This window comes from Homo sapiens, chromosome 15, assembly GCF_000001405.40.
Source record: "Homo sapiens chromosome 15, GRCh38.p14 Primary Assembly".
In the NCBI taxonomy this organism is placed as follows: domain Eukaryota; kingdom Metazoa; phylum Chordata; class Mammalia; order Primates; family Hominidae; genus Homo; species Homo sapiens.
The window spans coordinates 43253477-43268784 of NC_000015.10; the positions used below are offsets into that span (position 1 = coordinate 43253477).

The following is a 15308-nucleotide window of genomic DNA, read 5'->3' on the forward strand; positions in this document are numbered from 1 at the left end:
TCCCTCCCCGGGCACGCCAGGGACCTCACCATGGCACACACCACTCTGCTGACGTAGACGGGGCTTCCCCGCAGAGCACAGTCTGTGGCTGGGTCAGTCTGGAAGTGCAGGCTCTTGTCTAGCAGCTTCAGGCAGATGTCTATGATTTTGTCTTCAAACTTCGGGGGGAGAGGCAGAGAGGGAAGGCACCCATGCTTGTCACGTGGGAGTATGTAAAAAGTAATGACTTCCCCCCAACCCTAGTGGAATATAAACTCACTTGGAAGGTAACTGTGTCAAACAGAACAGCCATGAATTCCCTCCCATTCAGGTGTGGGGTTTCAAAACTCTAGGGTCACAATTCACCTGGTGCATATGCCCTGCACACCAAATCCCTCCCCTTCACTCCGAGATGACTATTGCTACTCCTGGGTTGTTTGGGTTTTTTCCCCAGTGAGTCTGACTGATTGAAAAGGCTCCTCCTCTCCTCTCAGTTCCCACACTCCTAGAGCACCAGGGGGTGTTCCTGCCAAAACCACATTGCCCCTGCTTCCACACTCACCTGCTGACCCAGCTTAGCATTGGCAGCTACTGCTGAAGTGAGGGTGCCAACCTGCCATGGCACCTGTGATTCACTGGGGCTCTAGGCTGACTAATTGCATGTGAATTATGAAAATTTCCCACCCAAGGCAGGCTGGCTCCTCCTGGTCCTTCAGACTTGGTGTGAATGCCACTCCCTCTGAGGCCTTCCCCGAGCCTGAGCCTGCTTTAGCGCCACAGCCCTGGGTATGTGCCCTCTCCGCGTGAGACTCAGTTACGTGATGTAGTCAAGTCTGTCTTTTCCTGCCTGAGTCTCGGGGCTGTTTCAGTCCAGCTCTCTTCACAACTCTGGACCTTAGGCCTGGCATGGTGCCCAGCACATTGCAGGAACTCTGTACCTCTTTGTAGAATGAGTGTAAATGAATACATTTATTCCTGTGTAACACTGGGCAACATGCAGAATTAGGAGGCTTCTCTGATCAATCTTCCCCAGAGGACAGTCTGATCAGCTCACTTTTCTGTTTTCAAATTTTCAAAGGCCTCCTACAGCCTAGAGAATCAAAGCTCTGACCTCCTTCAGAAGGCACATAAGTTCCTCCCAGATCTGGCCCCAACCTACCTCTCCAGCCTCAAGTATCAATAATTGCCCTCCGCCCCCATCCCTACCATTTTTTCTCCAGCAACACCAAATGTCTGCAGCGGGCCAAACCGTTTCCCACCCTCGTGTCTTTGCTCACACCTTCCCTCTGTCTGGGATGTTTTTCCCACTATCCTTCACTTGGCTAACTCAATTCAAACATCTCCTCTCCCAGGAAGCTTCTATGATACTCCCATGCCCAACCAAGAGCTCTTCCCCTTGGCTCTCAGAACACTCTGCCCCTGTCTCTCAATCTTTACATATTCATGATAAGTGACCTGTTTATGTGTCTGAGTCCGCATTACACTGTAAGATCAGGGACAATGTTGTATTCATTTTCATATCTCTAGCACTTAGCACCCTGCCTGGCACTGAGCAGGCGATCAATATATATTTAATGAAGAAGAAAGACAGAAATGGGCCAGGCGCGATGGCACACACCTGTAATCCCAACACTTTGGGAGGCCGAGACGGGAGGATCATTTGAGCCCAGGAGTTTGAGACCAGCCTGGGCAATATAGTGAGACCTCGTCTCTGCAAAAAATAAAAAAATTAGCCAGGTGTGGTGGGGCATGCCTGTAGTCCCAGCTACTCAGGAGGCTGAGGTGGGAGGATCACTTGAGTCCAGGAGGTCAAGGCTGCAATGAGCCATGATCTCACCACTGCCTTCCAGCCTGGGTGACAGAGCAAGACCATGTCTCAAAAACAAAAAGCAAGACAACAACAACAAAAGAAAGACAGAAACAGAGGGACCCAGGTCTGAGAAAGCAGCAACCCCTCTCTTCTGTTTCTTACAGATGGCAGCCCACTCCTGTCCAGGTCTCTCCATGATGCCCAATCTGCCCATGCTTAGTGAGGATTGGGGATGTGAGTTGGGGCCAGTTGAGGCCGCTATATCTCATCTTGGCTAGAGCCACCCCTGGGCCCAGGCTGGGGCTGGAAGGACACATATGTTGGAGTTCTATTTGGGCAGGTCCAGGAGAGGAATTCATATCAAGCTGAGACAAGGCTCCACGAGGATCCCCAGGGTTTCCTAGCTGACAGCTTTCTGAGAGGCTGAGGGCTGATCCTCTCCCTCCCACAGTGCTCTTGGCACTGGGGCTCAGCATCAAGAGCCCTCTTCCTTGCCTGGCACTGGACTTCCTGAAGTCCCTGCTGCAGGCTGAATTTGAAATGAGAGGCAGGCTTTTAGAAAGGCAGGAGGTGCAGAGCATTGCAATTAATATGACGTTATTTTTACGTATAAAGTAGCGTTTTAGAATGCGTATAGAAAACAAAATGTAGAGGAACATACACCAAGCTGGTGATGGTGCTTGGGATGACCTTCATGTATCCATTTTTGTAATGTCTCTTTGCAAATCTTTTTAAACAAGCATGTATTAACTTTCATAATTAAAAAGATGTATCATCAAAAAGACACAGAAATAAAGAGACAGTAGCCATGGGGAGGGAGATGCATTGCTGCTCATCAGCCCTGCTTCTGGCTGAGACATTCAGGGGACAAGTTGTCCTTGGTGTGACAGAACTGATGCTAGGGGTCAGTCACCAAGGGTTGTGAGCATGAAGTGAGAGAGTGGAAAATGGGACCCCAGTGGAAAAACAGTTTAATGAACCAAAATGCCGGGCATCATCACTGCTGTGATGGTTGCCATGCCTTCCATCTTCACCCTCATGCTCACTGGAATTCCTGGGTGAGGTGCCTTTAACTGCCCTTACCCTTAGCTCTTGTTGTCCAAATCAGACATGATCAGCAAAGAGAAAGGCCCTCCCACTCCCTATGGCTGCTCCTCGGGCAACCTGGGCTCACAACACACATCTTCCTCGTGCCATTTAGTTAGCGTTGGTCAGCAGTTCTAGGTGAAGCTCACATGTGCCCTGCTCCCTCTCCCCACAAGCTCGGGGCCGGGATGGGCCATAAGCAGGGCTGAGACTCACCTGTCCATAGTTCCAGGGACATGGGCGGATCCAGTTCTTGCTGCCTTGGTAGATGAAGCCATAATCATTCATGACATACTCCTGCCTCTGGGGTTCACTGTCCAAGTAGACAGCATCCTCTAGGAACCAGAGTGGGAGGGCACGAAGCAGAAAAGTCACCTTTCCCTTACTGCCCCATTCTCATCCCCACAGTCCCAGAGGAAACGGTTCTGGAGCAAGGGCCCCTGGCGACACCAAGAGGGGCACGAGGCAGTGGGTCTTAGGGAGTCCATGCTCCCAACACCAGCAACAGGCTCAACATGAACATAAGGTAGAATAATAAAAATTTCCCTTTGGTGGAATTTCTTGGTTTACAAAGCACATTTACATCCTATCCCCATTTTAAGGTTGAGGAAACAGGCTCAGAGTGATTAAGTAAATTGCCCAAATCACACATCAGCACAGAGCTGGAAATTGAACACAGCCGATTGATTCCATATTCTGTGCTTTTTCTGCTATACTAATCTTGGTTGGAAAAGAGCAAACCAGACCTTAAGGGTTGGCATTGACCTCATTATTCCTTTTGTAGGCATTTAATCTAGACAAAGCATTTCATATGTGCACAAAGGTTTAGACACTAAGCTGTTCATCTGAGTGCTGTTTATGATTCTGAAAAGCTGGAAACCACCTACATGCCCTGTTATTGGGGAGTAGTTAGATAGCTTCAATACATCTCCACCATGGAATCCCATACCATAGAGACGTAAGGCAGCAAAATCGTGTACATGGACGTGGAAATCTGTATGTGATACATGAAGTCTGAACAGATTATGAACAATGTTTACAGCATGAATTTTTATACATATACACATATACGTGCTGCCCATATGAACAGAGGGTTTTGAAGCCAGTTCAAAAATATCTTAACATTAGGTTGGTGCAAAAGTAATTGTGGATTTTGCCATTGAAAGTAATGGAGCTTACTTGAGGGTGGAGGGTGGGAGGAAGGTAAGGATTGAAAAACTACATGTTGGGGGTGTGGAGACGATGTGGAGACATACCAACACTTTTACACTGTTGGTAGGACTGTAAACTAGTTCAACCATTGTGGAAGACAGTGTGGCGATTCCTCAAGGGTCTAGAACTAGAAATACCATTTGACCCAGCCATACCATTACTGGGCATATACCCAAAGGATTATAAATCATGCTGCTATAAAGACACATGCACACGTATGTTTATTGTGGCACTATCCATAATAGCAAAGACTTGGAACCAACCCAAATGTCCATCAATGATAGACTGGATTAAGAAAATGTGGCACATATACACCATGGAATACTATGCAGCCATAAAAAATGATGAGTTCATGTCCTTTATAGGGACATGGATGCAGCTGGAAACCATCATTCTGAGCAAACTATTGCAAGGACGTAAGACCAAACACCACATGTTCTCACTCATAGGTGGGAATTGAACAATGAGAACACTTGGACACAGGGTGGGGAACATCACACACCAGGGCCTGTCGTGGGGTGGGGGGAAGAGGGGAGGGATAGCATTAGGAGATATACCTAATGTAAATGACAAGTTAATGGGTGCAGCACACCAACATGGCACATGTATACATATGTAACAAACCTGCATGTTGTGCACACATACCATAGAACTTAACGTATAATAATAAAAAAAAGAAACCATTACAAAAAAAAAAAAGAAAAACTACCTGTTGGGTAGTATGCTTATTACCTGGGTAATAAAATAATGCGTACATCAAACCAAACCTCTGTGGTGTGCAATTTACCTACATAGCAAATCTGTATGTGTACCCCTGAACCTAAAATAAAGGTTAAAAATTATCTTTTTAAAGTTAAGAACAAACAAACAAAAGGCCATGGGCACAGACGTCCACTTTGCAGGGTCCTAGAACTGTCTGGAAACTCTGTCTGACCCTGAGGGAAAGGTGCCCTCCTCAGAGGCAGCCTCAGACACAGCCTGATAGGAGGCTGGTGCAGGAGGCGTCGTTGCTGAGATGTATTTTATTGAGGGTTTGGGCCAGTGTGGCGAGAAGCTGCAGGTTCATGGTTGAGACCACACAGCCCCCTTCTCTCAGCCAGGGCCAGCAGTGGCCTGAGCTACACAGTGAGGCTTCCCAGCCAATACCCTCCTGTCCTGCAGCACCACAGGGCACTTCAGCCCCCACCAACCCTAGGCCCAGTGTTGGGTCTCCCGGGGCCTGGGTGTGGCACAAGCTCAAGAGAGAAGGCCCCATCATTAACGCTTTTCTCCCCACTGCTCAGAAGGCCCTGAGAGAGAGAGAGAGAGAGATACGAGACAGAGACAGGGAAAACAGTCGACTGGCCCTCCTGGATCCCATGGCAGGGTCTCTCCACCTGGCTGATGGGTGAGCATTCTCAGCCATTCGGGGACAGGGAAGCGGGTAGTGGTTAGAGGCGTTAGAACCCATCCAGGGCTCTGGGTCCTGATGTGACCCAGGAGGCCCCCTTGGGATAAGGCTGGGGGAGAAGGTAGAAAGAGAGGGAAGATGGGAAGCGGATGGTCCCCTAAGTCAGAAGCCAGACTTGGGAGTCTGGCCTCTGCTCAAAGCACAGCAGACCCGTTCTCTACTCCTGACCCCTTCTGCCCACACCATGTCCTTGTGTCTGCCTATGTATCTAGCCCTGTCCCCAACTAGATTTAGAGGTCAGGGCTTGTGAGACAGGTAGTGTGAGATATTCACTGTTACTTTGTCTATAGAAGAAGAAGAAAAAAAAAAACCGGAAACAGCTAAAATGCCCATAGAGAACTAGTTAAAAATATCTGGTGCATCCAAACAGTGAAATAATTGTAGCTGCTAAGAAGAATGCTCCGATAGGAAAATGTGCCCAAAGTTGAATTGTTAAATTAAAAAAAAAAAAAAGCTGGAGAATGGTATGTATTACATAATCTCACTTACGGTATGTATTGTAGAATCACACACACACAGAGGCATACATATTTGATTAAGCATAGAACACTTTTGTAAAACTACACAAGAAAATGTTAAAGGTGAATGGAATCTGAAAGAATAGAACTGCTGTTGAATGGAACTTAGAGATTGGGAGGCTTTACTTTTTACTTTACACTTTTCTCTTTCTTTTTTTTTGACCCTTTCCTTCATTCCATAAATACTCAGTGCAGTGCATTCGTTCCTTTTATAACGAAAAATACTCTAGTTAACTTAAAATTATATGATGAAGGTAGATGTTATTCACGATCAAACTTAATTGTAACAGTTTTTCTGTTTAAGCAAAGATGATTTGGTTTATAACTTGAAAATTCTAAATAAGTAAATGAATAGCAAGATTTCCTGCCCTGATTGGTGGTAGTTGGGGCGGATGCTGAGTGCAGGGAATTGAGGAGGCTCTGGGTGGCCCGGGAGCGGGGTCTAGAAACCCTTGAGCCTGTCTCTCTGGCAGCACTGACAGAAGAGAAAGGAGGGCACCGCCTGGGCACCCAGCCTTACCTGGGCACCAGGGATTGAAAAGCAGGATGAACTCCCCTAGCTGGTAGGCCGTCACAGACCCCTGGAAGGAGTCGATGTGGATTTTCAAGAGGTACCGACCCACGGCCGCCGTGGGAGGAGCGCACAAGCTCACCTCTGTGGAGGTGGCCCCATTGGTCTCCAGCCAGGCAATCCAGGGGCTGGGGCTGTGATGGCGTGCCAGGCTGAACACAGCCCGAGTCCCCAAGGCCAGGTCTGGCAGCGGTCCTAGGAGGGAAGTAGAGCTGAGGCCCTCCATGGCGACCTCCAAACCCCCGAAAATCCCCTCCCAGACACACACAGCCCCTGTGAGCCAGCTGGGGTTCTTACCAGTTTCAACCACGAAGATGATGTTGTCCAGGCCTGGCTGGAAGCTCCGGTTCCTGAAGTACAGGGTGAGGTTGAAGGCCTGGCCCCGGCGAACAAGCAGGTGGTCCACAGTGATCTCCTCCGTGTGGTGCCGCACATTATTTCTGGAGCTCTGGAGGTCTGTGAGGGCCACTTCTAGCCCTGCAATGGGGCAGCCAGGGTTAGACAAAATAGTGGGGTTGTGGAGCCAATCCTGTCCACCACTTACTAGTTCTGCAAACTTGAGAAAGTAACTTAGCTTGAGCCTCAGTTTCCATATCAGTAAAATAGAGTCCATAAGATCAGCCTGCCAGGATGAGGATAAGGATGAGGATTTAATGAGGTTCCATGCATGCGCTTTCCTCTTTTTTCCTTCCTCTCCTATCTCTCTGACCCTCTATCTTCTTCTCCCTTACACCCTCCTGGAGGGGCATGGTTTTCTGCCTCTGTCCAAGTCCTTCTGTAGACCTGGCCAAGTTTGATTGCTCCCTTCAGCCTCACATGGCTTCAGATTCACCCCAGCATCCGCTTTCTTGGACTCAAGTTAACAGTCTCACTTGCGCCTGTACTAGCCTCCAGGTCTGGGGAGCTGCTCCCTGGTTTAGTTGCCCTGGGTTTAACTCCTTGGGCTAGCTGCTCTTCCTTTTTTTGTGTGTGTGTTTTTTTTTTTTTTTTTTTTTTTTTTTTTTTGAGACAGAGTCTCACACTGTTGCCCAGGCTGCTGTGCAGTGGCACGATCTCGGCTCACTGCAAGCTCCGCCTCCCGGGTTCACGCCATTCTCCTGCCTCAGCCTCCCGAGTAGCTGGGGCTACAGGCGCCCGCCACCATGCCTGGCTAATTTTTTGTAGTTTTAGTAAAGACAGGGTTTCACCGTGTTAGCGAGAATGGTCTGGATCTCCTGACCTCGTGATCTGCCTGCCTCGGCCTCCCAAAGTGCTGGGATTACAGGCGTGAGCCACCGTGCCCGGCTGCTAGCTGCTCTTCTTTTAGCCATCTGCTGGCTCTCTGACCACCACAGGCCACGTGCTCAGTGCCCTGGGAGCTTGGATGCTGACAACAGTCAAAGAAAGTTTCATTCCCAACCTTCTGGAGCCTCTGCTAAAACACAGACTGACCTCACTAGTCTCCAAGTGTGTCTCTGCCAGAAGGGTCTGTTTTTGATTTTTCCTTGTTTGACCATGGTTCTGCCATGGTCCGAGTCACCTGGTGGGCTCACAGCCTTTAAATCACAATTGGCTCACCCATCTTCTTCTCAGCCCATGCCCATTCACCTGTCACTAACTCTCTTCATGCCTTCCATTAAAACATCTCTGGTGTCTATCCATCCTTTTCCACATTCACATAATTCCAACGTCTTCTCATACCGAGTCACCATAATGGCCTCCATGAGGTCTCCTGCCTCCTGTATCTCTCCCCATCTCCCATCTCTTAATGCATTATCAGATTACCTTTCCTCAAGACAATTTAATCATGCCATTCTTTTGCTTTACAAGTTCTGAGATCTCCTACAGTCTGCCATATAAAAGGCACATTCCTTAACTTGACACAGCTCTTCATACTTGGCCTTAGCTTATTCTTGCATTCTCACTTCTCATCATTCCCAGCATTGACCCTGTCCTCTAGCCAATCTATCCCCAAGCAAATCCCTGTTTTTGTATTTGCTGTTATAGCCCCAACTCAAGGGCCCCTCACTCTCTAACCAAATTCCACCTGTCCTCCAATACCTACCTGCTCCATGAAGCCTGCCTCAGTTGGCCCACCCTTCTTTCCATCACCTACTGAGCTATACACTTACCTGAATCGCTCATCTGCTTAATTGACAAGTTAATTTACATGACCGGTTCATTTGTTCATTCATATCAACAGACCTACTAGTGTAAGGATTAGGATGAGGTGTTCAGATGTTTTTCTTAGCTACTTTTTTGTCTGTCTTTTGCCTCTAGATATAAGCCAATAAGTACAGAGACCTAGCTGCTTTTTCTTGGTTGTATTTAGACTTTTTCAAAGTGAATCAGCGAATTCAACAGAATCCAACATTCTTTCATGATAAAAATATTCAACAAACTAAGAATAGAAGGGGACTTCCAGCCGGGCGTGGTGGCTCACACCTATAATTTCAGCACTTTGGGAGGCCGAGGCGGGTGGATCACAAGGTCAGGAGTTCAAGACCAGCCTGGCTAAGATGGTGAAACCCTGTCTCTACTAAAAATACAAAAGTTAGCCGGGCGTGGTGGTGGGCCCCTGTAATCCCAGCTACTCTGGAGGCTGAGGCAGAGAATTGCTTGAACCTGGGAGGTGGAGGTTGCAGTGAGCCAAGATCGCACCACTGCCCTCCAAAGCCCACAGCCAATACCATACTTAATAGTAAAAGATTGGATGCTTTCTTGCTAAGATAAGGAACAAGACAAGAATGTCTCCTGTTGTCACATCTATTTAACATTCTACTAGAGGTTCTAGCTAGGGCTATTAGGCAAAAAGAAAAAAAATCAAAGACATACAGATTGGAAAGAAGTAAAATTGTTTCTATTTACATGTGACATAATCTTGTATATAGAAAATCCCAAGGAACCCGCCAAAAAATATAATTAATAAATGAATTCAGCAAGGTTGCAGGACACAATATCAATATACAAAAACCAATTGTATTTTTATACATTTGCAAGGAGTAACCTGAAAATAAAATTAAGAAAATAATTCCATTTATAACAGCATCAAAAAGAATGACTTAGTAAATTTAACAAAAGTGCAAAGCCTATATCACAAAACATCACTGAAAGAAATTAAAGAAGACCTAAATAAATGAAAAGACATTCCAGGTTCATGGATTGGAAGGCAATATCATTAAGATAACAAGTTTTTCTGCAGATTCAACACAATCCCTAACAAAATCCCAACAGCCATTTTGTAGAAATTGATAAGTGGATCCTAAAATTCATATGGAAATACAAGGGATCCATACTAGCCAAACAGTATTGAAAAGTAAATACAAAATTAGAGGAGTGGCACTTCTTGATCAAGGCAATGTGGTAGTGGCATAAGGATAGACATATAGATCAGTGGAATAGAACTGAGAGTCTAGCAAAAAACTCCCATTTACAGTCAATTGATCTTTGACAAAGGTGCCAAGACAATTCAATGGGGGAAAGAATGCTCTTTTCAAAAAGTGGTGCTGGGACAAGTGGATATCCACATGCAAAAGAATGAAGTTAGATGCATAACTCACACCATTTATTAAAAATTAACTCAAAATGGATCAAAGACCTAAACATAAAAGCTAAAGCTATGAAACTCCTGGAAGAAAACATAGAGGTAAGTCTTTGTGATCTTAGACTAGGCAACAGCTTCTCAGATATGACAGCAGAAGTACAAACAGTGAGAGAAAAACCAAATGAATTGGACCTCATCAAAATTAATAACTTTTTGTCTTCAAGAACATCGTCAAGAAAGTGAAGAGAAAAGCCATAGAATGTTAGGAAATGTTTGTAAATCCTATATCTGGCAAAGGACTTATATCCAGAATACTTTTTAAAAAATTCATATAACTCTACAATAAAAGAGACAACTCAAATTTAAAATGGGCAACTGACCTGAATACACATTTCTCCAAAGGAGATACGCAAAAGGCTAATAAATACACGAAAAGATGCTCAACATCATTAGTCCTAGGGAAACACAAATGAGATACCATCTCGTATCTCCTAGGATGACTATAATAACAAGTGTTAGTGGGAATGCAGAGAAATTGGAATCCTCATACATTGCTCATGGGGTTGTAAAATGGTGCAGCACTTTGGAAAACAGTCTGGAAGTTCCTCAAGACATTCAACAAAGAGTTACCATAGGACCTAACAATTCGATCCCCAGGTATATACCCAAGATAAATGAAAACATGTTCACATAATACCTGAAAAATGGTAGCAGTATTATTCATAATAGCCAAAAAGTAGAAACAACACAATTGTCCATCAACTGAAGAATAGATAAACAAAATGATATACAAAGGAATATCATCCAGCTATAAAAAAAAAGAATGCTGAACATACTAAATATGGATGAACCTTGAAAATATTGTGCTAAGTGAAAACAGTCAGACATAAAAAGACACATATTATATGATTATATTTATATGAAATGTCCAGAATAGGCAAATTCATAGAGACAGAAAGTAGATTTAGGGCTTGCTAGGAGCTAAAGAAAGGTGGAATGGGACGTGACTGCCAATGTGTATGGGATTTCTTTTTGAGGTAATGAAATGTTCTGAAACTAGATAGTGGCGATACTCGCAAAATTTTGTGAGTATATGAAAAACCACTGAATTGTGGACTTTATAAAGCTGAACTTGATGGTATATGAATTATATCTCAATAAAAGTTGTTATAAACAAATATGAACCAAATTGACTGTGCCAAAATACCCTAATAAGTATTACACTTTATGTTAAATCTCTTTGAGTGCTTTTGATTACTTTAACACACATCTGTTTCATAAACTAGTTTTTTATTATTATAAAAGAAATTAAGCATAATGATCAGCATATTGTAGGTACTCAGATTTGCTAGGTTGAATAGAATTCTCTATCTTTTGCAAAATCACCCTGTACGTATTTCAGATTTCAGATTTAATCAACATCTTATTGAGGGCCTATCTACTATGTGCCAGGCACTGTGCCAGGTACGCTAGGACAGTTATCTCATTTAATCTTCATCGCATCCTTGCAGGGACAAAATGTCATGTCATCCACACTTGGAGATGAGAAAATCAAGGTTCAGGTGGGTTAAATATCTCGTCTAAGGTTAAACCAGGATTCCTGAGCCCAGTCCAGTGCTCTTCCCATCACCCCCAAGAGCTGTTGCCCACTGTTGGCTTTCACTCATGATCAAAAAAATGTCCACACCCACTGCCAGCTAAGAAAGCACTTGGCTTTTACCTAACAGTGGAAAAAGAAGCTTGCCCCCTTTGGAGACCAATTTATTAGACAGCACTAACTGGCTACAGTTCAGGTTGGGCACATGACGCAGGCTACTCAGCAGGCATGGCAGCATCTGCCTGGCAGCAAGCGCTGGGACAAAATTCCATCCTCTAGAGACATCCTGGGCCATGTTAATCTCTGCCTAAGACAGGAATGACTCTTCAGCCCAGGTGCCATCTATTCAAATAGGAGGTTCATTGACTACTGGGCATATTTGTTTTCCTTGAGGTGAGAGGAGAATGGGGTGAGATGATCAGGAAATAAACAGAAGACTGTAGAAAGAACTTTTAAAGTAAGTGATCTTAGTAGTTATCCTAGAGAGACACTCCCACGTGAGCACACAGAGGCATGGATAAGTATGTTCCTTGCAATATTGCTTGTGTAACCGGAAAATTGAAAACAACCTAAATGCCCATCAATAGGGGACAGGATTAGAAATTACTTGCACTGATACTATGAGAAATATTGAGGTAGATCTATAGGTACTGACTGGCATGGACAGAGCTCCCAGACATACTGTGGAGTGAAAAAAATCAAGTTGTAGAAATATACATACAATATGATGATACCATGGATATACCAAAAAAGACCACACATGCTAATCCTATGTATTACATTGAGTAAATGTATGTCTGAGTGTAAATGTGCAGACAAAAGACAGGTAACAGTGTTTACTCTGGAGATGAGGCTGCCATTGGGGATGGCGGGCAGAGGACTATAGCTTTATCTATAATTATTTATTTATTTTACTCCAACTATGTATTCCCATATTTCTTGTGCAATTAAAAGTTATGAAAATTTTAAAACAAAAATTTAAACACAAAAAGTAATAAATAAAGGTAAGGTTGTTACAGTTGTAGAGGAAGTTGAAAGCTTATTCCTCTAAATGATTTCAACTAACGATTTAATCTTCACAGCAACTCTTTCCAGAGTGAGGGGGATGATATAGAGAGAAGGTTGGTGATGGGAAGATTAGCTAAGATCAGTAATAGACCTTCTGAAATGGAGGAAGAAGAGAAGATATGAAGATTCAGAGAACTTAAGAGCTGGAAGACAATTTCAAGATTGTCTGGTCCAATCCCTCCTTTTTCAGGCAAGGGGGTTGGAAACTAGAGGCGAAGTGACTTGTCCAATGTCAAAGGGTCAGCTAGTAGCAGAGAAGGACAGAAACCCTGACCCCCTCATCTCTGGCCCTGCCCTGTCCCACCTGGCTATGGAGGCAGGCATGTTAGCAAGCAGCTGTGTGCTGTGTTTACCTGTCTGCCTCTACGCTGTCTCCTGGTTCTCAAGCCACCAATGAATACTGAGGTTTCTGGGATTCTTGCTTTTCCTGCCTCAGTTCTGTATTTACTTCTTTATTTCTCTGAATCCACCCTCCACCCCTTGACTTCCTACAGTCTCTCTCTGTCCTTCTTATCCCTGAACTCCAGTGGCCACAGGGGCTTTCCCTACCTTGGGCCATGGTAGCTGCCTCCGGTTCCTGGGATGCTCCCCACAGAACAGCTGGGCGGTCTGGAGCTTCAGCAAACTGGTGCCAGAGTGTCTACTTCCCCTTCCATTGGAAGCCTCCAGGAGAACCGAAGGCGGGGCTGGACTGCTGCACTGCCACCTGATTACCGAGCAGATCACAACTGGTTTGCTCACTTGCCCTCAGGTTTTTCTTGGCAGTGTTGCTGAATTGAAAGGAGGTGTGGAGGCTGATGAACTGTCACAGCCTTATGCCGTGTGGGCCTTTGATAGCTCTTGAGCAATAGGGCATTCCCAGGGAGGTGCTGTGCTGTGGTGGAGAAGTCAGGAGGGAGAAGCGAGCTGATGGGCCCGCCAGAGGGATGCAGGGGGCTGCTGGAAGGAGCATCAGGGTCCCAAGACTCTGCTCACAGCTTAAAGCACCTCATTGAGCCGAGAACCCTGCTAGGTAACCAAGGCCTCTCTTTTATCCTGAAAAGTCACTTCCTGAACATTAAATGCAAACAGAACCCTCTCTGTCTGGATCTCCTTCGGTATGATTTCACTGTATTTAGCTTTGGCAGTGGCATTGTCTTGCATGAGACCTGGCAGGTCCAAGACAAATCACAAATAAAAGCAAATAATCACAAATAAAATAGAGGAAGAAAAATTGGGAAGATTTGTGGAGGAGGTGTGGAAATAGGTGAGAGGGTGGGAATGCCGGTGAGCAAGGGCCTTGATCCTAGTAAGAAAGGCACAAGCCCTTTCATAGGGAGAAAAGCGCAGGTGGAAGGAGAGAGAGGGCAGGAGGGGGAAGGGCTCTGCCTGTGGAGTGGGTGGGACCCCCATGCCTACCCTGTCTTTCTGTGCTCTGGGGCACTTCTCCCCACATCCCCTGCTTTCTGGGTCCTTCTCCCTGGGGAACCTCTTTCACCAGCATTGTCCTCCCTCCTGTATTTTCAATTCTCTCTGTCCCCACTCAGCTCTTTTTTAAAACCTATGTAATTATTTTTATTTTTAATGTCCAGAATGTGTACTATAAGGGCCAGGGCTTCTTCCTGGACTTAATTTTATAAATTCTTGATTGGTTGGTGAGACCAATAGCGATACTTTTTCTTGTCTAATTTGGTTTCCGGGAAAGCTTCGTTCAAGTCGTCAATGGTCATCTGATCAAATGGTATTAAGTTCCTCATCTTCTCCAGCTGTTTCTCATATTCTCCAACCTGGCCTTTGAGAGAGACACCCACTCAGCACAAGTTTTCCCATCTTCTTTTTCTTCAGCATCCACCTGGGCAGTATATTTATCCTCTGGTACAGGAAGCTTCAGGACATTAAACTTCTTCTCAAAGTCATCCACCAAGCCTGCCTTGGCCACATTGGCCTTGTAGTAAGTCCAGTCAATAGCTGGTGGATTCTCAGGTAAAGTAGCCAGCCTGGAGGTGAGGGTCTCATTCCAGGATTTCAGATAATTAGCAATGGCCTTTTGGTTTTGGGGTATCATCTCTGCAAAAGCTACCCAGTCAATGGTTTTTAGAGCAAGTTTTCACCCAGCCATCTTGGTATACTTCACTGACCATGGCAGCCCATGGCCCACACCCCACTCACCTCTTATAGGGTATATGTGCACAAATGCAGTTCACTATTTTAACACAGCACATCCACCTTCAACTCTCATCCCCAGCTTCCCTAGCAGCCCCTGCCCTTTCTCTCAACTCCACTTCTCAGCCAAGCTCCTTGCCCACTGCTTTGCCTCCCACCACCCCTCACCTGCTGCAGACTGCCTTCTGTCCCACGGCTGCCTCGACGCCACGCTCACCTCCCAGCTCTGAGGGCTGGGCTCTGGGCGCCTTTCCTGCTCTTACCCTGCAAGGCCTCCTGCAGCCCTGCGGGTACTGTCCACTCCTCCTGGGCTTAGGTGACTTCTCTCTCTTGGTTGTCTAGCTGCCTCCTT

At 45.6% G+C, this 15308-nt stretch overlaps 1 protein-coding gene and 1 pseudogene across 2 annotated transcripts in view; both read right to left on the reverse strand.

Moving 5' to 3' along the window:
- The window catches only part of TGM5 (transglutaminase 5), a 34339-nt gene extending 20887 nt beyond the window's left edge, over positions 1-13452 (reverse strand). The window contains exons 1-5 of one of the 2 annotated variants that reach the window (NM_201631.4): positions 13364-13452; positions 6924-7103; positions 6576-6821; positions 3092-3210; positions 30-158 (exon numbers count right to left, since the gene is read on the reverse strand). In NM_201631.4, the coding sequence (NP_963925.2) occupies positions 30-158; positions 3092-3210; positions 6576-6821; positions 6924-7103; positions 13364-13373 (684 nt within the window). In that variant the 5' untranslated portion in view covers positions 13374-13452. The remainder of the gene's footprint in view (positions 1-29; positions 159-3091; positions 3211-6575; positions 6822-6923; positions 7104-13363) is intronic. The other variant, NM_004245.4, reaches the window with a different exon arrangement.
- Positions 14362-14949, reverse strand: ATP5PDP1 (ATP synthase peripheral stalk subunit d pseudogene 1; annotated as a pseudogene).